The 25,912-nt window shown below is 37.7% G+C and overlaps 1 protein-coding gene and 1 long non-coding RNA gene across 3 annotated transcripts in view, besides 5 other annotated features; both read right to left on the minus strand.

Annotated features, from left to right (window-relative positions):
- Positions 1-5,376, minus strand: part of KRR1 (KRR1 small subunit processome component) — a 20,747-nt gene extending 15,371 nt beyond the window's left edge. Inside the window, exons 1-5 of one of the 2 annotated variants that reach the window (NM_007043.7) lie at positions 5,280-5,376; positions 2,041-2,213; positions 549-683; positions 251-376; positions 83-166 (exon numbers count right to left, since the gene is read on the minus strand). In NM_007043.7, coding sequence (NP_008974.5) covers positions 83-166; positions 251-376; positions 549-683; positions 2,041-2,213; positions 5,280-5,364 — 603 coding nt within the window. In that variant the 5' untranslated portion in view covers positions 5,365-5,376. Of the gene's footprint in view, positions 1-82; positions 167-250; positions 377-548; positions 684-2,040; positions 2,214-5,244 lie in introns of both variants that reach the window. The other variant, XM_047428133.1, reaches the window with a different exon arrangement.
- Positions 4,589-5,133: an enhancer, noted in NCBI's record as "H3K27ac hESC enhancer chr12:75904602-75905146 (GRCh37/hg19 assembly coordinates)". NCBI's record gives its function as "activates a minimal SCP1, AML or CMV promoter by ChIP-STARR-seq in primed H9 embryonic stem cells {active_cell/tissue: H9 hESC(primed)}" and the evidence as "EXISTENCE:reporter gene assay evidence [ECO:0000049][PMID:30033119]".
- Positions 5,134-5,677: an enhancer, noted in NCBI's record as "H3K27ac hESC enhancer chr12:75905147-75905690 (GRCh37/hg19 assembly coordinates)". NCBI's record gives its function as "activates a minimal SCP1, AML or CMV promoter by ChIP-STARR-seq in primed H9 embryonic stem cells {active_cell/tissue: H9 hESC(primed)}" and the evidence as "EXISTENCE:reporter gene assay evidence [ECO:0000049][PMID:30033119]".
- Positions 5,184-5,343: an enhancer, noted in NCBI's record as "active region_6670". NCBI's record gives its function as "activates an Ori minimal core promoter by ATAC-STARR-seq in GM12878 lymphoblastoid cells {active_cell/tissue: GM12878}" and the evidence as "EXISTENCE:reporter gene assay evidence [ECO:0000049][PMID:35858748]".
- Positions 16,489-16,989: an enhancer, noted in NCBI's record as "H3K4me1 hESC enhancer chr12:75916502-75917002 (GRCh37/hg19 assembly coordinates)". NCBI's record gives its function as "activates a minimal SCP1, AML or CMV promoter by ChIP-STARR-seq in naive H9 embryonic stem cells {active_cell/tissue: H9 hESC(naive)}" and the evidence as "EXISTENCE:reporter gene assay evidence [ECO:0000049][PMID:30033119]".
- Positions 16,990-17,490: an enhancer, noted in NCBI's record as "H3K4me1 hESC enhancer chr12:75917003-75917503 (GRCh37/hg19 assembly coordinates)". NCBI's record gives its function as "activates a minimal SCP1, AML or CMV promoter by ChIP-STARR-seq in naive H9 embryonic stem cells {active_cell/tissue: H9 hESC(naive)}" and the evidence as "EXISTENCE:reporter gene assay evidence [ECO:0000049][PMID:30033119]".
- LOC105369844 (uncharacterized) overlaps positions 18,028-25,912 on the minus strand; it is a 310,508-nt gene continuing 302,623 nt past the window's right edge. The window contains exons 14-16 of the long non-coding RNA XR_007063375.1: positions 25,386-25,530; positions 18,602-18,731; positions 18,028-18,207 (exon numbers count right to left, since the gene is read on the minus strand). This is a non-coding gene — a long non-coding RNA (uncharacterized LOC105369844). The remainder of the gene's footprint in view (positions 18,208-18,601; positions 18,732-25,385; positions 25,531-25,912) is intronic.

Here is a 25,912-nt window from a genome sequence, read left to right on the forward strand (position 1 = left end):
AAGCATTATCCAATAAACTATATTATAACCAAATTATTTGTTCTCTGCTGAAAATGAATCGAAGATAATACATAGTTCTCACCTCTTTTAAGCCACTAAAAGGTCCAATGGCTGAAACTGTGTTTCCCTGAACCATAATGTAACAATTAGTTAAGAGTTCCAATGCCTGTATCAAGAGATCAAGTTAAAATTCATTACTCTGAAAAAGTATTAAGGAAGAGACTCAAGTTTTCCACTAATTAAAAAATACCTTCAATGTAGATCCTTTGGGACCAATAAGCCGTTGTCTTCGTTTTACAAATCTCTCTTTATTCCTTACTAAAGAACCTATTTTAATGATGTCACATGCAACATCATCCTGAAGAATTCGTACTGCCTTTTGCAAAAAAAAAAAAAAAAAGAAGACATTATCAACATTTTTTACAATTACATTCATTTTCCAGGCCCACGCTATTGTTACCTAAGCACAAATATGAAAACTTGATGGTGGGATGTTATAGGTTAACACTGATGCAAACAAAGCAAAGTCTCTGTAATTCTAGATTTACCTGTTCAAATGAAACACTCCTTGCTAACAGTTTTATCAGATCTCTGGCCCTAATGATGATATATGGATCAAAAGTCTTCTTTGTAGTACAAACAGTCATGCTGCCTTCGATCAGGTCCAGGGTTGCATTAACATGCTACAGAAGGAAAGAGCAAACAAGCAGTTGTCTAAAAATGAGTTTTTTTAGATAATTATAAAGCCTCTCCTAACCAACCTATTAATTTCTGTCACCTCTCAATTCCTATCAATTACTTCCCTGAAGAAGCTAGGTAGTTAAGTATAAATAATGAATACTCAATTACTTTCACACTTTACAGACTATAAGAAACTGGAGCAATTGAAACCATTTACCCTTGGTTTTAGAATACTTTGTACCCACTGGAATATAGATTGCCTCTAATTTAAAAATTATAAATCAAACAAATGAGGTCATACTTAAAATCTGACTAAGGTAAAAATGTAAAGCTGTACAGCTTCCCTATTCTGGACCCAGCTCCAGTCTACCATCTGCTCCATTGGGTAAGAATTGACTTTCCCTTTCAAACTTTTTTCGAGCTAATTAGGGGACTAAATACAAAGTAAAAGCAAATTATCATAGTTTCAGAAAAAAGCAATGATTAGAAAACTTAAGCATTAACTTTCAACAGGAAAAAACAGATTTCAACAAAGCGAATTAAAATGCTATTTTCTCACTTGTGAGCATAATCTCAAGAATATTTCAACATAGTTAAGTGCTGAACAATTCAACATATGGTTGAGTCTCTATGAGTTTACAAAAAAAAAATGAGCTCAATCCCAGATGCAGCTACAAAACACAACCTGCAGCTTGCTGAGCCACCTTCACCCACAATGGCACAACCAACTCCAGAGCAGTCCCACAGTTAGAAACACATTTTATATCACAACCTAATACATATACACACACACACAAACAAAGCCAATATCAAAAAAAGATACTTTTACCATGTGATATGTCATTTTCTAAAGGCTCATTATAGCCATTAAATTGACTTCTCAATACACTAATGGGTTTCAATCCCCAGTTTGAAAAAAAAAATGCAGTTATCTAGGGGCATAGCATCAGCAATAAACAAGGAAAAGTTGGACACATCCACATCTTCCATTTAAGATGAAAGGTAATCAATTAGAAACATGACTCAGCTCAGACTGGGACAGATACATGACAACTATCATGGCCTGGAGCAGGCATACTGAAATTGGGACTTCACAGGTGAATTTCAGACAGTTGTGAAGCTCCTAAAATATTAAAGGTATGTAAATTTTTCAAAGTAATTTATTACTCATAAAATTAAAACAAATGAACATTAGGTAAGAAGAAAACTTACTTAAATAGTTTAGAATACCAAAGGAACCAAAGTAACCAGCTATGTTAGCACCATTAAAAAAAAAAAAAAAGCATTAGCATACATACATTTAAAGGCATAAGCAAGAGCAAAGTCTCAAATAAATGTATTGATATAAGATACACATACATGTTCATTTAAGGCTTTCTGCACCAATGGCCAACACTCTTTCAAGTAAGCTTCCCTGTATTTTGGGAACAAAGTTGCGAAACTGCTCTCCTCCAAAAGTCCTCTGGGATTGTCCTCTTTGGAAAAAGCTGGTTCCTTCCAACCATCAGGAACCGTAAGGAGTTCTGATTCATCTACAGAAAGGAAAAAATTTACACATCACATTTTAACTGTCTTTTGGACATACACATCACATTTTAACTGTCTTTTGGACACTTTATGAACATCCTATGCACATATTCACAAACCTTCCAATACTCCTTGCATTTCCTTTTCCCCTGCTTTTTATATTATTCAAGAGTCAAAGAACGTTCCTCTGTCATTATCATCAATTCTCTGTATTAAAATTATCTGTACACATTTCAGTTGCCTCATATGACAAAGTTCCTTAAGAGCAGAAACCCTCTTCACACTAGTTGGCATATGCCAGGCAGATAGTGAGTACTCCAGAAACATGTACTGCACTACACTATCATAAAATTGAAGATTTGAATGCCATTTTGGTTAGTATTTTAAATACAATTAACCTTTCTGACTTTCCTGGAGTGTATGGAATCTGGATGTATGTGTTTGTGTAAAACTTCTGAAAGAGAATTCTAGTTTATCTTTCAGTTAATAATCACTGGTAATTCTAGATTTTCCTAAGCATTTTGAGTGCCTTATTTCCATACGCCTTTCATCGTAACTATAAAAGGTAGAATCTGTATTATTATTCTCATTTTATAGAAGATGGTCTAAAAAGGTTAAGTGACTTGCCTAAGGGAACACAAAGCTCACTCAGCCTGGGACTCCTTTCACTACAAGAAAATGCCTCCTAAGGGCCGTAAATTATCTTCTGAATCATTTATTTAAAAAACTCTTGATCTTGAATTTGAAGAACTCCTTAATTTCAATAGCTATACTCTAATTCAGTTATACTCAAAGGTATGATCCATAGACTTGCAGTATCAGCACAAACTGTAAGTCTGTCAGAAATGCAATTATTGGGCCCCACTACAGACCTACTGAATGAGAATCTCTTCGACGAGGGACAAGAATCTGTGTTTTACCATGCTCAACAGGAGACTCTTAAGCACGGTAAAGTTTGAAAAACACGTCATTACCCTATGTTAGCAGCCTCAGACAGGTAAACTTTCTGCTTATACTCACATCCACGTTGCTATTTCTGGTTCAAATCACAGACAATTGGCTAGTCTTCATATAAAGGATTCTCCAATGTCCTTTAAAGAACACGAATTCCACAAAAGTGATTACTTATATACTATACACATTTCTTTTTTTTTTTTTTTTTTTAAAGACAGGGCCTCGCTCTGTCACCCAGGCTGGAGTGCAATGGCTCCATCCCAGCTCACTGCAGCCTGGACCTCCTGGACTCAAGCGATCTATTCTCTTGCCTCAGCCTCACAAGTAGCTGGTACTACAGGCATGTGCCATCATGTCCGGCTAATTTTTTTTTTTTTTTTGTAGCGAAAGGGTTTTGCCATGTTGACCAGACTGGTCTCCTGGGCTCAAGCAATCCCCCCTCCTCAGCTTGCCAAAGTGCTGGGATTACAGGTGTGAGTCACTGCAACTAGTTACTTACAATGTTTACCTGACGAAGTCCCTATCCAATTTAAACACTTCAAAGGCTATGGATAATTTTTTTTAAAATCCCCACTACAACCTCAGGAAAAAAACTGACAAAAGAAATACTCAGGAGTTTCACAATTAAGGAAGCCTCAAAACATGTGAAAAGATATGCAACCTCATAGGTGATCAGAAAATGCAAACTAAAACTGCAACCAAATACCATTTCATAACTACCAAAATGACAGAAATTCAAAATTCAGATAACATGTATTCATACTAATGTAAGGCAATGACAACTTTCGTCCACTCCTAGTGGGAACAAAACTGACACTAGCACTTTGGAAAAAAGTTAGCATTACTTACACACACCCTACACTTCAGTGATTCCAATCCTATGTTCACAACCTAGAGAAACCCTTGAACATGTTAACCAGAAGACATGTACAAAGATGTTTTAGCAGTATTGTTTATAATTGCAAGCAATTGGGAACAATCCAAATGTCCACCGATAGTAAAATGAAAAAATAAATTGGGGTATATTCATACAAGGAAACACCACATAACAGTGAAAAGACTAAAACTACACCCGCAAGTATCACCCTGTTTGAAAAACAAAAAGCTAAATCTAAGAAGACACAGAAAAATGCATACGGTCCACTTTCATGTATATAAAATTAAAAAACAGGCTAAATTAAGCCACTTCATGACTACAAGAAGAGGAACAGAATGCAACACAATTCAGGGTGGTTACGTCTGATACAGGAAAAGAGAATATGATCTGAGAGGTGCACGTAAGGGTTTGAGGGGTATGGTAATGCTCTATTTTACTTAGTCTGAATGCTAGTTTCCCGCATGGTTTTATTAAACTCTATATAAGTTGTATCCCCTGCTATGTACGTTACATAATCATTTAATGAGCAACAACAAAGAAACTTTGAATACTTTCCCAATGCATCTAAATTGAGAGTTCAATGTTTTTAACACTTCCTATAAGCCTGGTTGAACAGATCCCCAGGCTATTTATGACTTCTCTATCATTCACACTGAAGAAAACGGGTAAAACCAGACTACAACGCAGGAGTTAACAATTAAAAGGTAACACAACCTAAACAGTAAGGGCTGTGTCGTCTAATATTTTAGCATCTGACAAACAGGAATTGATAATCTTTCAAAATGTCTTTACTGACAAACTAGAGCTAAGGACATGTCGGATAGCTCCTTTCCCCATACCTCACCCCATTATCAGGGTCCACTCTTGTATATCATGACTACCTATTCCCACCTCACCCTATTCCTCATTCCGTCAGTGACTTTCAGCCACCCGCAGGCTTACAAGGTTCTGCGTCGCCCTAGGCATTTTCTTAATACTCATCCTTTTACAAAAGACGTAATCCGCAACAGCTTCGCTTTGGGGACCCTTTAGCAAAAGCAATGAATTAGGAACACCTGGGTGGCACCATATCGGCCAGCCGTTCCTGTGGGCCCAGCCAAAATCTTATCAGCGATTATTCAGGTACTCAACTACACAGTACAGGCTCCAGGTGGTTTTATAAGTCCACGAGGAACGAAAGAAAAAAACATCGCAACTCAACGTACACAAACCCCAGGCTTCGGTTCCCACATAACATCACCTTGGTTCTCCGGCTTCGGCTTCTGGTTACGAAATTCACTTTTTCCAGCGCCTTTTTCTGGCCGCTCCAGCGAGGGAGACGCCATTTGCAAGCTGCTTCCGGTGGCTCCGGAAATGAAACTGTTCTTAAACCCTACCGGCTAAAACGCCTACACTCAAAATGAGTTCCGCGGAACTCAGACGAGGAGATCTGCGCAGTCTCCGTGCGTACGTGCGTTAAGCCCGCGCTTTTACACAAACCACAGCTTCTCCTACGTGGCCAATGAAGAGCCGGAGACTTTCTCCCAGTATGCCCTGAAACCATGGAGTTTGCGTACTGGGACTTGTAGTTTAGCAGGCGGTATAGGCAAATTGGATACTGTTTTATCCGTAGTTTCCTCGTGGCCTCACGGCCTAACCTGGACCATCGGACAGCGGAGTGCTACCAACCTGTCATTGATGTCATTCATTCTTTCGATAAATATTTATATGTTGGCCAAATATGCGCTAGATGTTGGGAGGAAGTACAAATATGAGAATACAATGTATATTGGGCCTCCACTGCAACAAGTGACAGGAATAGCTACTATTTATTGTGAGACTACTTTGTTTCAGTACTTTATTTACATTATTTCTAATTTTAAAAACAGTGACAAAATTAAACTTTTCAAAGTTGTTTCTGATGGTAATCTTCCCGAGTGTTGGTATTTCTCTAAGTCAGAGGGATGGTAATTCAACATCCTGACGTTTCTGAAGTATTTCAACTAGCCTAAGATTTCTCAAAATCTCTAAACTCCTTTTCTACCCCCAACATTACATAGGGCTAAGATGTGTAGAGAGGTTCATCACTAACTACAAATAACTACACTTTTGGAAGTATAAGAGTTCTTCGACATGCCAAATATAAGATTTTTTTAAATTTTGATTTTATTGCTTGCATTTCTAAAATTTTCTGCAGCAAATAGGGAAAGTCTTTGATAGGTTAAATTCCTTGCATTAGTGAAATACACGTTTGTCTGATAAATCCACTCTCGTGTATCTTATACAATAATTTAGGTTTTCATATATGAGATCCAGGTATGAAACAGATTGTTACATATGGACAGAAGAACCCACGACAGAGGGGTTTTTTGTTTTTATCCTGTGAGTTTTATAAATGACAGGGATTTTATCTCTGTTCTTTTAATTTCCTCAAAAAATGATAAATTCCTAAAATAGAACAGATAGCAGCAGGTGAAAGTTATAAAGTGAGGAGTACACCTCATGAAGCAGGTTTTTATCATTCTTATTTTAAGTAACTCAATCACTAATAAGTGGAAGGCCCGTCTTCAAGTTCAGGCAGTTTGACCTAGCAGCTTCAGGGGGCTACTATTCATTAGGAGCTTCAAATGTGTTAGAGGGCTGATAGGGATTAAGGGGAGGGAATAGTCTAGAAATAATATTTGTGTTAAAGCCCTTTATTTTATAGCAAAATTTTCTACATAGGCTTTTCTTCCCATTTACGTGTATATTTTTAATCTTAGTATTGCTATTATTTGAGGAATATTGAGAATATGATGGAGATGGGAAAACGAAAACCCACCCATCCTTTTCTTGGCACTATTGAGTCTGTTTGTAAAACCCAACCTTTTAATTACCATACTATGCAGAGCCCACAGTTCACCTGTCCCTTTTTGAAATTTTTACATCTTTTTCCAAATCATTACTGAAAGGGGTGTAAAAACATGGATAATAATTGAGTTCTAAGATTCTCTAACGTCCTCAAGACCTCCTATTATAGATGACACCACACTAAAACTGTCTGCTTTCCAAAGGAAAAGATTCATCAGGCTCCTACAATAAGTTATTTCAGTATTAAGTGATTCTTTCCCTTCCCTAACTCAAAAGCCCTCATGTTGTCCACCAACTGAATATACAATATAAAAACAATATATGATTGGAAGTTAAGTGAATTTTTTTAAGTCTGTTACTTGCCTTCCAGAACCCATAATCTAACACAAGTTATATCACAGGAATAGGGAGTTATCTTACATATAGGATATAAAAGCTTTTACTAAAAAATGAATCCTGCAACAAAAATCACAAATTAATTTAAAAATATTAATTATAATGACTATTAATCATATACTGAAGGGTATATATAATTATACAGTACTTTTTCCTCTGTGATAATATGAGATAAAATATAGCAAGATACTAATTTGATGCTAGTAGTTATAAGAAGTAATGTATAAAAATTAAATGAATAGAAAATTGCATGAGACTGAGAGGCTGAAGCTTTTCCTTAGTACACATACATTTTTTTTTCAGTTTTAAAACAGACTCTGATGCTTAAATATTGTTACTCATTAACTGAATTTTCATATTTTGGCTTGACAAGCAGGAATAGCACATATATATATACTTACTAAAAATTAAAATTGACAGTCAAATTGAATGAGAACAACGTTTCAACAATTTGCTTAGACTATGTTTTAAGCAATTTTGAAGAAAAATTTTAAAATAAACGTGGTATGGAATAAACAAATTCCGAAATTAATTCGACTAGTTCTTCTAAGAATTAAACATTGTAACCAATATTACATATGAGTAGTTTAAACTTTTAAAACCTCTTAACAATAGTTTCCACATGTGGGAACTATTTGCTCTAGATTCCTTACTTTGGAAAAGAGCAGATCTAATTTCAACATCTTCCAAAAATTCATTAGAATTGAAAGAACAATTTGATTTTAAATAAATATTGAATAATGACTAAAAATTATAAATATTTATTGAATACATATTGAAAATAAATATTGAAAAATCTCCTAAAATCACCTTAGAAGACTATAAACTCAAAAGTGATTATCAAAATGACAGTGTCCAAATTTTCATCTCAATTTCAATGATTCACTGATTATAAAGTATTCAAAATAATAATTTAAAATTTAAAATGATGAGAAATAGGGTAAAAAAATAAAGGATATAAAAGAGGGCAAAATATTCGCAAAACATTTAATGGGTTGATTACAATAATATTCAAGGCGATAAAAAGATGTAAGCAATTCAATCAAAAAATGAGGAAAGCCCGAGGGCAGTGGCTTACGCCTGTAATCCCAGCACTTTGGGAGGCCGAGGCGGGCGGATCACGAGTTCAGGAGATTGAGGCCATTCTGGCTAACACGGTGAAACCCCGTCTCTATTAAAAATTCAAAAAATTAGCGGGGCATGGTGGCACGCACCTGTAGTCCCAGCTACTAGGGAGGCTGAGGCAGGAGAATCGCTTGAATCCAAGAAGCAGATGTTGCAGTGAGCCGAGATCATGCCACTGCACTCCAGCCTGGGTGACAGAGCAAGACTCCATCTCAAAAAAAGAAAAGAAAAACGGAAAATATATTAGTAGATATTTGTGATGGTTAATTTTAAGTGTTAACTTGACTGGGTAATATTGTCCCGATATTTGGGCCTACATTATTATGGATGTTTCTGTGAGAGTACTTTTAGATGAGATTAACATTTAAATCAGTGAACTTTGAGTAAGGTAGATTGTCCTCTATATACTGTGGGTGGTCCTCATCCAATCAGTTGAAGACCTGAATAGAACAAAAACATTGACCTCCCCTGAGAAAGAAGAATTGTGCAGCAGAAGTCCCTTGTACTTGAATTGCAGCATTGTCTTGTCTTTGTCTCCAGCCTGCCAGCCTACCGTGCAGATTTTGGACTCGCCAGCCTCCATAATCATGTGAACCAATTTTTTAAAATAAATAAAAATAAATTACACACACACACACACACACACACACACACACACACACATTGGTTTTGTTTCTCTGGAGAGCCCTAATACAACAATTTATAGTAGAGCTAATCCAAATGACTGACGAACATATGATGTTCAACCTCACTACTGTCAACAAAGTATACAGACTTAACAATGAAATATCACTTCTCACCCACCAGATTGAAAAAAAAGAAAAGAAATAAAAAACATACATTTAAAAAAAATACTGCTAGAGGAAAGAATAGTCTCATACATGGCTAGTGCAAATGTAAACTGTTACTGCCTTTTTGCAGAGCAATTTAGCAATATAAAATACACACATATGGTTCTGCAGTAATTCCACACCAGATAAACTATTGAATAGAAATAAAGGACCATTCAATTAGAATGTTTCTACAATAGTGTTGATTACTACCTTCTATAAAAGTAGTTTAGTGAAATATACTTTGGAGCCATACTGACTAGTTTGCCACCTATTGGCTATATAGCCTGGGGCGTTTCTTACCTACTCCTGCTCAGTTTTCTAAAATGGGGAGAATAACCTAACCCCTCAGTAGCTTAATACATGTAAAGCGCAAAAAAAAAAAAAAAAAAACTTAGCACATGATAAACACTTAATAGGTGTTAGCTATTATTGTTTATACTGGCAAAAAGTAAAAGCATTTAAACTATCAATTAGGGATCTAGTTAAATAAATTGATATTACTTTCATAACCATGGGCTATTATACAACCATTTATAAGAATTAAATCTATATGAAAAAATACATAGAATATTGAGCAATAAAAGCCAGATATGTAATATAAACATACACATACACACACGTATATATAATATGATCTCATTTTTCTAAGGCAAACCATTCATTTATTCAACAAATATTTACTGAGCATCTATGACATTCAAGACACTGTTCTAAATACTTGGTTATATTCTATGTGCTGAATATAATATATGAATACATGAGTTTGTATGTGATTGTACAATAAAAAAATTGGGACAGATACACATTAAGATTTTAAGACTGGCTAACTTAGAGATGAAGATGATTAGAAAAGAAGATGAAACTAGGCAAAAAGACAGAAGAAGATGTCCATGATAAAATAGCATGTATAAAATGATACTATTTACATACAACTGTATGTGTGTGTGTGTGTGTGTTTGTGTGTTTCTGTATGAAAAGATGGTCATCTAAATGTTGACTATGTTACCTCTCAGTATAGAGACATTTCAAAGTATGGCAATTAAATGGCAATACAGTTGTAAATCAATCACAATATACATCATTTTTCTTTAACATCCTAGGAAATCTGAACATAAATATGTAAATAAATAAGCAAATAGAATATGTACTTAAATGACACTAAAAGGGGAAAGAAAAATGGACATCTCTAAAGGGTTTCTTGGCACAAATCTAGAATCTAGATTGGAAAGCCCTTGGGTCACAGCCACAGGCAGGCCTTTCTTTTTCTTTTGGAGACAGAGTCTCGCTCTGTTGCCAATGCTGGAGGGCAGTGGTGCCATCTCAGCTCACTGCAAACTCTACCTCCTGGGTTCAAGCAATTCTCCTGCCTCACCCTCCCAAGTAGCTGGACTACAGGCGCCTGCCACCATGCCCGGCTAATTTTTGCATTTTTAGTAGAGATGGGGTTTTGCCATGTTGGCCAGGCTGGTCTTGAACTCCTGAACTGAGATGATCCACCCACCTCAGCTTTCTAAAGTGCTGGGATTATAGGCATGCCCTTTTTGATTGTGACTTCTCTCCTCTTTAGCCTCTTAAGCAATCTAGACCCACATGCAGCCACAATCATCTTCCTGTGAGAAATCTGCTCTACTTGTTCTTACCCTGCTTATTCATTTTCCCAGGGAAAGCACAGATTGTCCTCACAACAACTCTCCTTTGGAATTAAAGACCTTAATTCTCACGGTAACCAGAGGGTAGAGGGGAAAGAAAGAGTAAGGATGAGATTTAACAATGTCTTTGGAGAGTGTATTATCTCTTATTAAAGCAAACAGGAAAATGGCAAATAAATGTGGTTTATTTTTATTTAACATTTCTACACTGATTTATCAGAGATAAAAATTAATTTTGCACAGTAATCTACTTTCTTGCTAACTTTATTTTCTTTTTTAATAATCTAGATAGGATTTCTCAAGTACATAACGTTGACACATTTTTATTTTCTTTTTTTATTATACTTTAAGTTTCAGGGTACATGTGTACAATGTGCAGGTTTGTTGCATATGTATACATGTACCATGTTGGTGTGCTGCACCCATTAACTCGCCATTTAAACATTAGGTATCTCTCCTAATGCTATCCCTCCCCCCTTCCCCCACCCCACAACAGGCCCTGATGTGTCATGTTCCCCTTCCTGTGTCCATGTGTTCTCATTGTTCAATTCCCACCTATGAGTGAGGACATGTGGTGTTTGGTTTTTTGTCTTTGCGACAGTTTGCTGAGAATGATGGTTTCCAGCTTCATCCATGTCCCTACAAAGGACATGAACTCATCATTTTTTATGGCTGCATAGTATTCCATGGTGTATATGTGCCACATTTTCTTAATCCAGTCTATCATTGTTGGACATTTGGGCTGGTTCCAAGTCTTTGCTATTGTCAATAGTGCTGCAATAAACATACGTGTGCATGTGTCTTTATAGCAGCATGATTTATAATCCTTTGGGTATATACCCAGTAATGGGATGGCTGGGTCAAATAGTAATTCTAGTTCTAGATCCCTGAGGAATCGCCACACTGATTTCCACAATGGTTGAACTAGTTTACAGTCCCACCAGCAGTGTAAAAGTGTTCCTATTTCTCCACATCCTCTCCAGCACCTGTTGTTTCCTGACTTTTTAATGATCGCCATTCTAACTGGTGTGAGATGGTATCTCACTGTGGTTTTCATTTGCATTTCTCTGATGGTCAGTGATGATGAGCATTTTTTCATGTGTCTTTTGGCTGCATAAATGTCTTCTTTTGAGAAGTGTCTGTTCATATCCTTCGCCCGCTTTTTGATGGGGTTGTTTGTTTTTTTCTTGTAAATTTGTTGGAGTTCATTGTAGATTCTGGATATTAGCCCTTTGTCAGATGAGTAGATTGCAAAAATTTTCTCCCATTCTGTAGGTTGCCTGTTCACTCTGATGGTAGTTTCTTTGGCTGTGCAGAAGCTCTTTAGTTTAATTAGATCCCATCTCTCAATTTTGGCTTTTGTTGCCATTGCTTTTGGTGTTTTAGACATGAAGTCCTTGCCCATGCCTATGTCCTGAATGCTATTGCCTAGGTTTTCTTCTAGGGTTTTTATGGTTTTAGGTCTAACATTTAAGTCTTTAATCCATCTTGAATTAATTTTTGTATAAGATGTAAGGAAGGGATCCAGTTTCAGCTTTCTACATATGGCTAGCCAGTTTTCCCAGCACCATTTATTAAATAGGGAATCCTTTCCCCATTGCTTGTTTTTCTCAGGTTTGTCAAAGATCAGATAGTTGTAGATATGTGGCATTATTTCTGAGGGCTCTGTTCTGTTCCATTGATCTATATCTCTGTTTTGGTACTGGTACCATGCTGTTTTGGTTACTGTAGTCTTGCAGTATAGTTTGAAGTCAGGTAGCGTGATGCCTCCAGCTTTGTTCTTTTGGCTTAGGATTGACTTGGCGATGTGGGCTCTTTTTTGGTTCCATGTGAACTTTAAAGCAGTTTTTTCCAATTCTGTGAAGAAAGTCATTGGTAGCTTGATGGGGATGGCATTGAATCTATAAATTACCTTGGGCAGTATGGACATTTTCACGATATTGATTCTTCCTACCTGTGAGCATGGAATGTTCTTCCGTTTGTTTGTATCCTTTTTTATTTCATTGAGCAGTGGTTTGTAGTTCTCCTTGAAGAGGTCCTTCACATCCCTTGTAAGTTGGATTCCTAGGTATTTTATTCTCTTTGAAGCAATTGTGAATGGGAGTTCACTCAAGATTTGGCTCTCTGTTTGTCTGTTATTGGTGTATAAGAATGCTTGTGATTTTTGCACATTGATTTTGTATGCTGAGACTTTGCTGAAGTTGCTTATCAGCTTAAGGAGATTTTGGGCTGAGATGATGGGGTTTTCTAAATATACAGTCATGTCATCTGCAAACAGGGACAGTTTGACTTCTTATTTTCCTAATTGAATACCCTTTATTTCCTTCTCCTGCCTGATTGCCCTGGCCAGAACTTCCAACACTATGTTGAATAGTAGTGGTGAGAGAGGGCATCCCTGTCTTGTGCCAGTTTTCAAAGGGAATGCTTCCAGTTTTTGCCCATTCAGTATGATATTGGCTGTGGGTTTGTCATAGAAAGCTCTTATTATTTTGAGATACGTCCCATGAATACCTAATTTATTGAGAGTTTTTAGCATGAAGGTTGTTGAATTTTGTCAAAGGGATTTTCTGCATCTGTTGAGATAATCATGTGGTTTTTGTCGTTGGTTCTGTTTACATGCTGGATTACGTTTATTGATTTGCGTATGTTAAACCAGCCTTGCATCCCAGGGATGAAGCCCACTTGATCATGGTGGATAAGCTTTTTGATGTGCCACTGGATTTGGTTTGCCAGTATTTTATTGAGGATTTTTGCATCAATGTTCATCAGGGATATTGGTCTAAAATTCTCTTTTTTTGTTGTTTCTCTGCGAGGCTTTGGTACCAGGATGATGCTGGCCTCATAAAATGAGTTAGGGAGGATTCCCTCTTTTTCTATTGATTGGAATAGTTTCAGAAGGAATGGTACCAGTTCCTGCTTGTACCTCTGGTAGAATTCGGCTGTGAATCCATCTGGTCCTGGACTTTTTTTGGTTGGTAAGCTATTAATTATTGCCTCAATTTCAGAGCCTGTTATTGGTCCATTCAGGGATTCACCTTCTTCCTGGTTTAGTCTTGGGAGGGTCTATGTATCGAGGAATTTATCCATTTCTTCTAGATTTTCTAGTTTATTTGTGTAGAGGTGTTTATAGTATTCTCTGATGATAGGTTGTATTTCTGTGGGATCGGTGGTGATATCCCCTTTATCATTTTTTATTGCATCTATTTGATTCTTCTCTCTTTTCTTCTTTATTAGTCTTGCTAGCGGTCTATCAATTTTGTTGATCTTTTCAAAAAACCAGCTCCTGGATTCATTGATTTTTTGAAGGGTTTTTTTGTGTCTCTATCTCCTTCAGTTCTGCTCTGATCTTAGTTATTTCTTGCCTTCTGCTAGCTTTTGAATGTGTTTGCTCTTGTTTCTCTAGTTCTTTTCATTGTGATGTTAGGGTGTCAATTTTAGATCTTTTCTGCTTTCTCTTGTGGGCATTTAGTGCTATAAATTTCCCCCTACACACTGCTTTAAATGTGTCCCAGAGATTCTGGTATGTTGTGTCTTTATTCTTGTTGGTTTCAAAGAACATCTTTATTTCTGCCTTCATTTCGTTATGTACCCAGTAGTCATTCAGGAGCAGGTTGTTCAGTTTCCATGTAGTTGAGCGGTTTTGAGTGAGTTTCTTAATCCTGAGTTCTAGTTTGATTGCACTGTGGTCTGAGAGACAGTTTGTTATAATTTCTGTTCTTTTACATTTGCTGAGGAGTGCTTTACTTCCAACTATGTGGTTAGTTTTGGAATAGGCGTAGTGTGGTGCTGAGAAGAATGTATATTCTGTTGATTTGGGGTGGAGAGTTCTGTAGATGTCTATTAGGTCCACTTGGTGCAGAGCTGAGTTCTGTTCCTGGATATCCTTGTTAACTTTCTGTCTTGTTGATCTGTCTAATGTTGACAGTGTGGTGTTAAAGTCTCCCATTATTATTGCGTGGGAGTTTGGTCTCTTTGTAGGTCTCTAAGGACTTGCTTTATGAATCTGGGTGCTCCTGTATTGGGTGCATATATATTTAGGATAGTTAGCTCTTCTTGTTGAATTGATCTCTTTACCATTATGTAATGGCCTTCTTTGTCTCTTTTTATCTTTGTTGGTTTAATGTCTGTTTTATCAGAGACTAGGATTGCAGCCCCTGCCTTTTTTTGTTTTCCATTTGCTTGGTAGGTCTTCCTCCATCCCTTTATTTTGAGCCTATGTGTGTTTCTGCATGTGAGATGGGTTTCCTGAATACAGCACACTGATGGGTCTTGACTCTTTATCCAATTTGCCAGTCTGTGTCTTTTAATTGGAGAATTTAGCCCATTTACATTTAAGGTTAATATTGTTATGTGTGAATTTGATCCTGTCATTATGATGTTAGCTGGGTATTTTGCTTGTTAGTTGATGCAGCTTCTTCCTAGCCTTGATGGTCTTTACAATTTGGCATGTTTTTGCAGTGGCTGGTACCAGTTGTTCCTTTCCATGTTTAGTGCTTCCTTCAGGAGCTCTTTTAAGGCAGGCCTGCTGGTGACAAAATCTCTCAGCATTTGCTTGTCTGTAAAGGATTTTATTTCTCCTTCACTTATGAAGCTTAGTTTGGCTGGATATGAAATTCTGGGTTGAAAACTCTTTTCTTTAAGAATGTTGAATATTGGCCCCCACTCTCTTCTGGCTTGTAGAATTTCTTCTGAGAGATCAGCTGTTAGTCTGATGGGCTTCCCTTTGTGGGTAACCGTACCTTTCTCTCTGGCTGCCCTTAACATTTTTTCCTTCATTTCAACTTTGGTGAATCTGACAATTATGTGTCTTGGAGTTGCTCTTCTTGAGGAGTATCTTTGTGGCATTCTCTGTATTTCCTGAATCTGAATGTTGGCCTGCCTTGCTAGATTGGGGAAGTTCTCCTGGAAAATATCCTGCAGAGTGTTTTCCAACTTGGTTCCATTCTCCCCGTCACTTTCAGGCACACCAATCAGACGTAGATTTGGTCTTTTCACATGGTCCCATATTTCTTGGAGGCTTTGTTCATTTCTTTTTATTATTTTTTCTCTAAACTTCTCTTCTCACTTCATTTCATTCATTTGATCATCCATCACTGATACCCTTTCTTCCAGTTGATCGAATCGGCTACTGAGGCTTGTGCATTCATCACATAGCTCTCATGCCGTGGTTTTCCACTCCATCAGGTCCTTTAAGGACTTCTCTGCATTGGTTATTCTAGTTAGCCATTCGTCTAATCTTTTTTCAAGGTTTTTAACTTCTTTGCCATGGGTTCAAACTTCCTCCTTTAGCTCAGAGAAGTTTGACCATCTGAAGCCTTCTTCTCTCAACTTGTCAAAGTCATTCTCCGTCCTGCTTTGTTCCATTGCTGGTGAGGAGCTGCATTCCTTTGGAGGAGGAGACACACTCTGATTTTTAGAATTTTCAGTTTTTCTGCTCTGTTTTTTCCCATCTTTGCAGTTTTATCTACCTTTTGTCTTTGATCATGGTGACATACAGATGGGGTTTTGGTGTGGATGTCCTTTCTGTTTGTTAGTTTTCCTTCTAACAGTCAGGACCCTCAGCTGCAGGTCTGTTGGAGTTTGCTGGAGGTGCACTCCAGACCCTGTTTGCCTGGGTATCAGCAGCGGATGCTGCAGAACAGTGAATATTGGTGAACAGCAAATGTTGCTGCCTGATCGTTCCTCTAGAAGTTTTGTCTCAGAGGAGTACCCAGCCGTGTGGGGTGTCAGTCTGCTCCCACTGGGGGGTGCTTCCCAGTTAGGGTACTCGGGGGTCAGTGACCCACTTGAGGAGGCAGTCTGTCTGATCTCAGATCTCCAGCTGCGTGCTGGGAGAACCACTACTCTCTTCAAAGCTGTCAGACAGGGACATTTAAGTCTGCAGAGGTTTCTGCTGCCTTTTGTTTGGCTATGCCCCGTCCCCAGAGGTGGAGTCTACAGAGGCAGGCAGGCCTCCTTGAGCTGAGGTGGGATCCACCCAGTTCGAGCTTCCTGGCTGCTTTGTTTACCTATTCAAGCCTCAGCAATGGTGGGCACCCCTCCCCCAGCCTTGCTGCCACCTTGCAGTTTGATTCCAGACTGCTGTGCTAGCAATGAGTGAGGCTCTGTGGGCGTAGGACCCTCCGAGCCAGACTCGGGATCTAATCTCCTGGTGTGCCGTCTGCTAAGACTGTCGGAAAAGCGCAGTATTAGGGTGGGAGTGACCCAATTTTCCAGGTGCCGTCCGTCACCCCTTTCTTTGGCCAGGAAAAGGAATTCCCTGACCCCTTGCACTTCCTGGGTGAAGCAATGCCTCGCCCTGCTTCAGCTCATGCTTGGTGCGCTGCACCCACTGTCCTGCACCCACTGTCTGACAATCCCCCATGAGATGAACCTGGTACCTCAGTTGGAAATGCAGAAATCATTCGTCTTCTGCATCGCTCACGCTGGGATCTGTAGACTGGAGCTGTTCCCAATCGGCCATCTTGGCTATACTCCCTATTTTCTTTTTTTTAAATCTTATTTTAGGTTCAGGGATACATATGCTGACTTGTTATATAGATAAACTCCTGTCACGGGGGTTTGTTGTACAGATTATTTCATCACCCAGATACTAAACCTAGTACCCAATATAGTTATTTTTGCTGCTTCTCTCCTCCCACCCTCCACCCTCGAGTAGGCCCCAGTGTCTGTTGTTCCCTTCTTTATATGAGTTCTCATTATTTAGCTCCCACTTACAAGTGAGAACATGCAGTATTTGTTTTTCTGTTGCTGTGTTAGTTTGCTAATGCAGGAACAGAAAACAGATGGAGCTGGAGGATGGAGCCTCCAGCTCCATCCATGTTCCCTCAAAATTCGTAATCTCATTCTTTTTTATGGTTGCATAGCCACATTTTTATTTTCTAACATACATTAGCTGCTTTTCATTCCAGTCAACTTCATGGAAAAGTTTAAAATTCTAAATCAGTATATCTAACAACTCAATAACAGTAATGATACCTGTGGCTGTAAAAGTAAGCCCTCTTCTAACTCCAAGTGATTTCATGATGAAATAGGTATCTAGTCAAGCACACACAAAAAATGTACCCTAGCTGTAAACTAATTATACATTATCAGTCATAAAATTATTATATTATTAACCTATCTTTAGAAAAATAAAGTGTTGATAAAAGTGAATTGTTCTGCATGTAACCCAAGAACCCTGGGAATCTAGGACAGAGACAAGATTTACGAAACATATTCAGCAAGTCTTGAAATGCTTTCTGCTGTGCAGCAGGATGTTTCATGTAGTTGGTGCCTGGGTGAAACATCTTTGCAGGATACCCACCTCTTTCTCCAAGGCCACACTTCGCAAATTCTGTGGAGAATAAGGTATAATGTACTGTTTTGACTCTAACCAGACATTTAATCTTAGATAAGACTTAACCAACTGGTTTCTTTTATTGTAAAATGAGAGAGTTGGGTTAGATTACTGTTTTTCAAACTTTAACCAGCCTCAGAATCACATGGAGGGGTGGCCCCACTCTCACTTTATAGTAGTATAGTAGGCCCTGAGAATTTGCAGCCCCCCAACAAGAAAGAATTATTGAACCCAAAATATCAATAGTGCCAAGGATAAGACGCTCTGGCCTAAAGGTATTCTGAGTTGCTGTTATTCTACTTTAAAGGGCCAGTAAGTGCCTAACCAAGCATGCCATGAAAGCAGAGTTATTTCCCCCACCTTTTTTTTTTTTTTTTTAAATTTAACCTACCTAGGGCAGTATTAGTTTGGTACCAAAGCCAAAGATTCCAGATGGCTGTTCATTATGATGCTGGGCTCCTCTGTGGACAGGTCTCCATTTTCCTCAACCATATCATTGTGGAATTCTGTTGCCTCATGACCTGAAAAAACACTGGGATTTGTACATACAGTGGACCCTTTGGGTTGAAAGACACTCATTACGGCTTGAATATTAGTCTCTTCAGGCCCCAAGCCAATAAAACATTCATATTTTCATTGGGAATCTAGCCTCTCCTATAATTTACATGCAATCTTCCCTCTTTCTCTTTGTGATTGTTCTCATTGATAAGGACCAGCTTTGATATAATTTTCAGTTTGAACGTTCTTCCCCCTAAAGGAAGCTGGAATACATTCCATGGTATTAGGTTCCACCATAGCAACGGAAGGCTTTTTATTGCATGCATGAATATTCAGGATTTAATCAGTGGCATGTGAAATGTATTGATACTACTGAGAATTATTTTATGCTAATAGAAAAAGCAAACGACAGTCTTTTATTTGTAAACATAACACTGAAAGAACACTTGAACTTTTCTGGAAAGCAAATCTTTAGTCATTTGTTGAAGCTATATGCCTTTCCCATCCTTTAGGTGGCAGTAACTGCAGATGGCCCATAATAAAATGAACTTTTTAAGTGAAATATTTTAAACATTTAATACATTTATATTTTTAAAAATGATTTCATGATGTTAATAAGATGGTGGCATTGCTACTTCATAATTTCAAATTCTCTAATTAAAAAGTCTAGCTACCTGACACTGGGAGGTGTGTAAATGCAGGCTTTAACATAATACTTTTTATCATCCAACAGTGATTTTAACCTCTTTTTGTTTACCATTCCCTTTACTATGTGATGAAATACAGACTCTTTCCCCAGAAGAGCACATGTTTGCATAGACATAATAGCACTCTTCCATAGAATCCCTAGAGGATCAGGCTACCAGTTTAGGGGGCCTTGCCTTAAAGCAACATGAGAGGAGTGTCTCAGAAGCCTGAATCTGATCTTTTAAGCACTAGAGTGTCCTGCTCTTAGAGTTGCCCAGGGGAGGTAGAGGGGATGGAAGCACTCTTTACCTTTAATAAATAAGCATATGCCTTCTTCTACAATTATGATTTCAGTATGATTAAATAGTTGCATAGAACTATACTTCTCAAGACTCCTTTGACGGAAAGTCATAGAAACTCAAAGTAACTTATGTAAAAAAGAGGATTTATAGTCCCATAACCTGGATACTGCATCTAGGAACTCAACAGTGTCATCAAGACAGTAATGCCCTCCCTCAATCACTGACATGTTCTCTCTCTCTTTCTCTCTGTCCCCCTTCTGTGTCTATCAGCAATTCTAGGATGTACATTCTTAACAGAAGAAGAGCTTCTTTTTCTGAAGAGTTATATCAAAAGTCCCAGGTGACCACTTATGTTTAGTTTTATCAGTATTTATCAGTTCCATGCATATTTTTGTTTTTATGGCTACTACACACACACACACACACACATACAATCTTTAAACAAGATAAAGTAGGCTTTTCATATTTTATATGACACATTGTACATTATACTTAATAAACATGTATGTAATTATTATATAACTATTTTACATTAGTTACATTCATATAATGTATAGGTATATTATATATATACAAAATTATATATATAATGTGCATGTACTTATGAAACTTGCTTTTTATGTGGAATATATTGTTTTTAGATATATTCATCTCGAATCCATGTAATGCTAGTTCATTCTACCACAGTAAATAACTTTTGAAATTTGTTTATAAAAGACATTGTGCCTTCCATCTTTGTTGCATTCTCTCTCTAGCTCTTTCTCTCTCTCTGTCTCTCTGGGATCACTCATTCTGGGGAAAGCCAGCTGTCGTGTTGTGAGCAGCCCTGTGGAGAGGTCCCTGTGGTAAGGAACTGAAACCTGTCAACAGCCACATGAGAGAACTTGGAGGCAGCTCATGTAGTTTAGTCAAGCTGTCTGATGGCTGCAGCCCGACCTAATTGCAGCCTCCTGGGAGACCTTGAGCTGCAAGCTCCCAGCTGAGCTGCTCACAAATTCCTGACCCTCAGACACTGTGTAAATGTTTAAGTTGCTAATTTGGGGGATAATTTTTACACAGACAAACATAACTAACACAATATTGAAGCAAATCTAAGAATTTATCAATATATCAGGTTTTGGTGGGGATACAGACATGAAATTTTTTCTCAGTAGAAATAGTTTTCCCTGGTTCTTGCCACTAGAGGGCAAATGGTCACAAATAATGGCTTTTTCTATTTCCATACAACTCAGATGTCCGATGCAAACATTCTTAGAGACCATCTGCTCTGTTGCCTTACAGATGAGTATACAAATGCCCACAGACATTAACTTACTTGTTCAAGTTCACACAGGCTAGATCTTAACGTAAAAACTCAGCTGCAGTTAATAACATACAAACCAGCTATTTTTAAATTTTTTTAAATTTTTGTGATATACACCTGTACACCATACATCTATGTATATATATATATACACCTATGTGTATACATCTATACATAGGTTTATATATTTATGGGGTACATGAGATGTTTTGATACAGGCATGCAATATGAAATAAGCACATCATGGAGAATGGGGTATCCATTCCCTCAGGCATTTATCCTTTGAGTTCCAAACAATCCAATTACACTATTTAAGTTGTTTTAAAATGTACAGTTAAGTTATTATTGACTATAGTCACCCTATTGTGCCAATCAGTTAACTATTAATTAATGCTGCTATTTCTGAAAGTCACTAGGTACAAATAAAGAAGGCTTTATCTTTTTTATTTCAACTAGCATGTTAAAATTCCTAAGATCACAAAATTTATGATAACAACCATTGCCATTTATTGGGTACCTATTATGAACAACTTATTATACACATGTGCTACATGTCTTTTCATTTAATCTATCTAATGAAGCTTTGAAACTTACGCCTATCAATGCATGAGGGTCAGTGTCTTGTCCAAGGACACGTAGCTAGAAAGAAGGAAAACAAATTTGATTCTGATAGACGTTAAATCTCTTTGCAATATTTTTCTTAGGGCACAGCTCATAGCCTCTGATTATACCAGAAGTTTGTTGCTTCTGGAAACTTTTAGTATGTTGAGACATTTAAATGATTGCCATATAACATTGGAACAGAAAAGAAAAAAATTGATGACTCTCCTTCCCTTTTTCCCAGAAAAATTCTCTCTCTCTCTCTCTCTCTCTCACACACACACACACACACACACATATTGCCTCTTTCCTTCATTCTAGCAGACCAGCTTTGTGATACTGGTTAACCTTCCTAGAGCTTCATTTTGTTGCACCTTCTTCATTTCTAAAATAAGAATACACCTACCTCTTTTAAGCTCTCAGCAGGGATGCTGTGATGATTAATGAAAAAGTCTTCATGAATCTCATTTGATTTTGCAGAAGACAGAAGTTTAATAAAGCTGAAGAATCATTATAATGGTAATTAGTCATATTTTAGGACAGATGGGCAAGTGTCTGGCAGTGGTGGCTTAGCTGGAGCTGTTGCCACACCAAAGCAATAAAATAATGTCAATATGTCAGCCACATCAAGTCAGACGCAAAGAGGGTGCAATAGCAGCCTACTTCACACACTGCTTTGTTCATCATCTCTGCTTGGCACAGACTGGGACAGAGTTACAGCATTTCTAAGACAGACAGGCAGGCAGTTCGAGAAGAGCCACCTCATTATTGTGGCATATAATCTCCAAAGATAGCCACCACTGATAGCTTCCTTCCTTGTTGATATGCATGTTACTCCTCACACTAAGAGAGTGAGGAGCCCCTTGAATCTGGCCTGGCCCTGTGACTTGTTTAGATCGAGAGAATACTGTGGCTATGACTCTGCTAATTCTAGGTCCAGCCTTTAGAAAGACTGGCAGCTTCTGCTTCCTCTATCTTGGAAGAATGATGCAGGATAAGAAGTTCAAATACCCTGAGCCCATCTCACTATGAGAAAGCCCAAGCTAGCCATGTGGAAAGAGGGACAGAAACAGGCCTGACCAGCTCTCGGATATTCCAGTCATCCCAACTGAGGTTCTGAATGTGAGTGAAGAAGCAATCTTAGACATTTCAGCTTCAGTAGATACCATGTGGAGCAAAAGAACTGTTCAGTCCAGATTGTTTTTAAGCCATTGTGTGCTGGCATGTTTCTTATATAGCAATAGATATTTGAGACACCTATCAACATTTAAAATAGGGTCATATATCTCTTGATATTCTCTCTTTGCTAAATGAAGTAGAGGATTTCTTCAGAGAAATGAAATAAGGGAAAAACAGTAAGAGTTTGATACAATTGAGAGGATAGTTGCCTTTTAGAGGATACAAATTTTAGTTTTATAAAAGTCTGATTAAGATAGAGCAGTTATCTTTTCTTTGTTCACTCAGGCATTCATGCTCAAATATTTGTTGAATAAATATATTGCTTACTATACATCAGACATATGGATTATACACACACAGTCTCCAACTTACGATGGTTGGACTTACATCATAACCTTCATAAATTGGAGAGCCATCATGTTTTTCACTTTCAGTACAGTATTCAATAAATTGCATGAGATATCAAACACTTTATTATAACATAGGCTTTGTGTTAGATGATTTTTCCCAGCTGCAGGCTAATATCAGTGTCTGAGCACATTTAAGATAGGCTAGGCTAAGTTCTGATGTTCTATAGGTTAGGTATATTAAGTACATTTTCAATTTAGATTATATTTTCTAACTTATGATGGGTTTATCAGGACACAACCCCATCATAAGTTAAGGAACATCTGTAGGGCTAAGTGAGATGGATAATGTCCCTGATCTCATAGTGCTTATATCCTAATTGGGGAAGACGAATAACAACCAAAGCAAAAAGATAATTTCAGTTGGTGATAATGCAATTAATCTGGGGAAGGGTAATGTGATAGCATTATCAGAGTCTTTCTAAGGGTTCCCCACAATGCATTAGCAATAAACTAACAAACAGAAAAAAATAAAGAAAATGTTCATCCCGAGATTGTAATACAGTTTAATTATCTGTAACCTAATTAGCAGTTTCTGGGTATGAGTAAACACAATTCATGGTGTGGGCAGGGCTTTCCCATTTTGTGCTTTGAGTCTTAGCTTTGTTAACACTGAAACTGATCTGGTGGGGTAGATTTTTTTCCCCTACCTTATTAGCTTTTTAGGGAAGTAAAAATGGAATGTGCTAGCATTGGTGGTACAGGTACTTTGCTGGTCCACATGCAGTCTATTAACACCATTCCTAAGACACAGCCATTGATGTACTCAAAGAAAATGAGTTTGATGGGCACCTTGGTTGATTCAATGCCTTCACTATTGTGAATAGCACTCTGATGAACATATGAGTGCATATGTCTTTTTGGTAGAACAATTTATTTTCCTTTGACTAATGGAATTGCTGGCTCAAATGGCAGTTCTAAGTTCTTTGAGAAATCTCTGAACTGCTTTCCGTAGTGACTGAACTAATTCACATTGCCACCAGCAGTGTATAAGTGTCCCCTTTTCTCCATAGCCTCACCAGCATCATTTGTTTTTTGACTTTTTAATAATAGCCAGCTGAGGCCAGGTGCGATGGTTCACGTTTGTAATCCCAGGACTTTGGGAGGCCAAGGCAGGCAGATCACTTGAGGCCAGGAGTTCAAGACCAGCCTGGCAAACATGGCGAAACCCTGTCTCTACAGAAAAAAATACAAAAAAAATTAGCCAGGCCTGGTGGTGGGCACCTGTAATCCCAGCTACTCGGGAGGCTGAGGCAGGAGAGTCGCTTGGAGCTGGGAGGGAGAGGTTGCAGTGAGTGGAGATCGCACCATTGCACTCCAGCCTGGGTGACAAGAGTGAAACTCCATCTCAAAATAATAATAATAATAATAATGATAATAGCCAGTCTGACTGATATGAGATAGTATCTCATTGTGGCCTTGATTTGCATTTCTCTGATGATTAGTGATGTTGAGCATTTTTTCATATGTTTGTTGGCCACTTGTATATCTTCTTTTGAGAAGTGTCTCTTCATGCCTTTTGCCCACTTTTGAATGGGGTTATTTGTTTTTGCTTGTTAAATTGTTTAAGTTCCTCATAGATTCTGGATATTAGACCTTTATGAACATTTTATCCCATTCTGTAGGTTGTGTGTTTACTCCGTTCATAGTTTCTTTTGCTGTACAGAAGCTCTTTAGTTTAATTAGGTCTCACTTGTCAATTTTTGTTTTAGTTGCAAGGGTAGATAGGTTAATGAAATGTGGTACATACATGCCATGGAATACTATGCAGTCATAAAACAGAACAAAATTTTGTCCTTGGCAGCAACACAGATGCAGCTGGGGGCCATTACCCCAAGCATATTAATGAAGGAAAAGAAAACCAAATACCACATGTTCTCACTTACAGTAGGAGCTAAACATTGGGTACTAATGGACATAAAGATGGCAACAATGGACACTCGAGACTACTAGAAAGGGGAGGGCAAAAGGGTTGAAAAACTTAACTACTGGGTACTATTTTCAGTACCTAGGTGATGGGATCAATAATATCCCAAATCTCTGCATCACAAAATATACCCAGCTAACAAACCTGTAGATGTAGCTCCTGAATCTAAAATAGAAGTTGAAGTTATTTCTTCAAATGAAAATAAGTTTGAATTAAGAGAATCAAGGAACTAGATATTTTACAGTCCTACATTTCTGGAAGGCTTCACTTACTTAATTTCTTCTGAAGAAAGGGCATTTTTCATAAGAGAATTAGAAAGACCACTCTTCTTTTGCATACATAGCATGGTTCTCTGTGATATCCCATGAATGTTCTGTTGAGACCCTTCCACATTCTTTTGAAATTAGCAATGATTTCCTTGAAAGAGGAAATTCTGTCTTAATTTCTTCGTTTATTTATCCTCTCACACAATATCCTGCCCATAGTACATGCTTAATAAATATTTGTTAAATAAGTGAATGTCAGATTAAGAGACCAGTGTCTACATTTGAAACCCAGCTCTGCAACCTACTAGCAGTGTGATCTTGGTCAAGTTACTTAATTACTCTCAACCACTACATTGTTACTTTAAAATTAATATTAAGTTTCCGAAATGGTGACTCTTGATAAATTAGAATAGACACATAGCCATTGACAGCTAATGCTGGCAACACTGTGTGTGTGTGTGTGTGTGTGTGTGTGTGTGTGTGTATAATGTATACATATATACATGTATATGTATATATATTAGTTATATTTG

This window comes from Homo sapiens, chromosome 12 (assembly GCF_000001405.40).
Source record: "Homo sapiens chromosome 12, GRCh38.p14 Primary Assembly".
Lineage (NCBI taxonomy): Eukaryota > Metazoa > Chordata > Mammalia > Primates > Hominidae > Homo > Homo sapiens.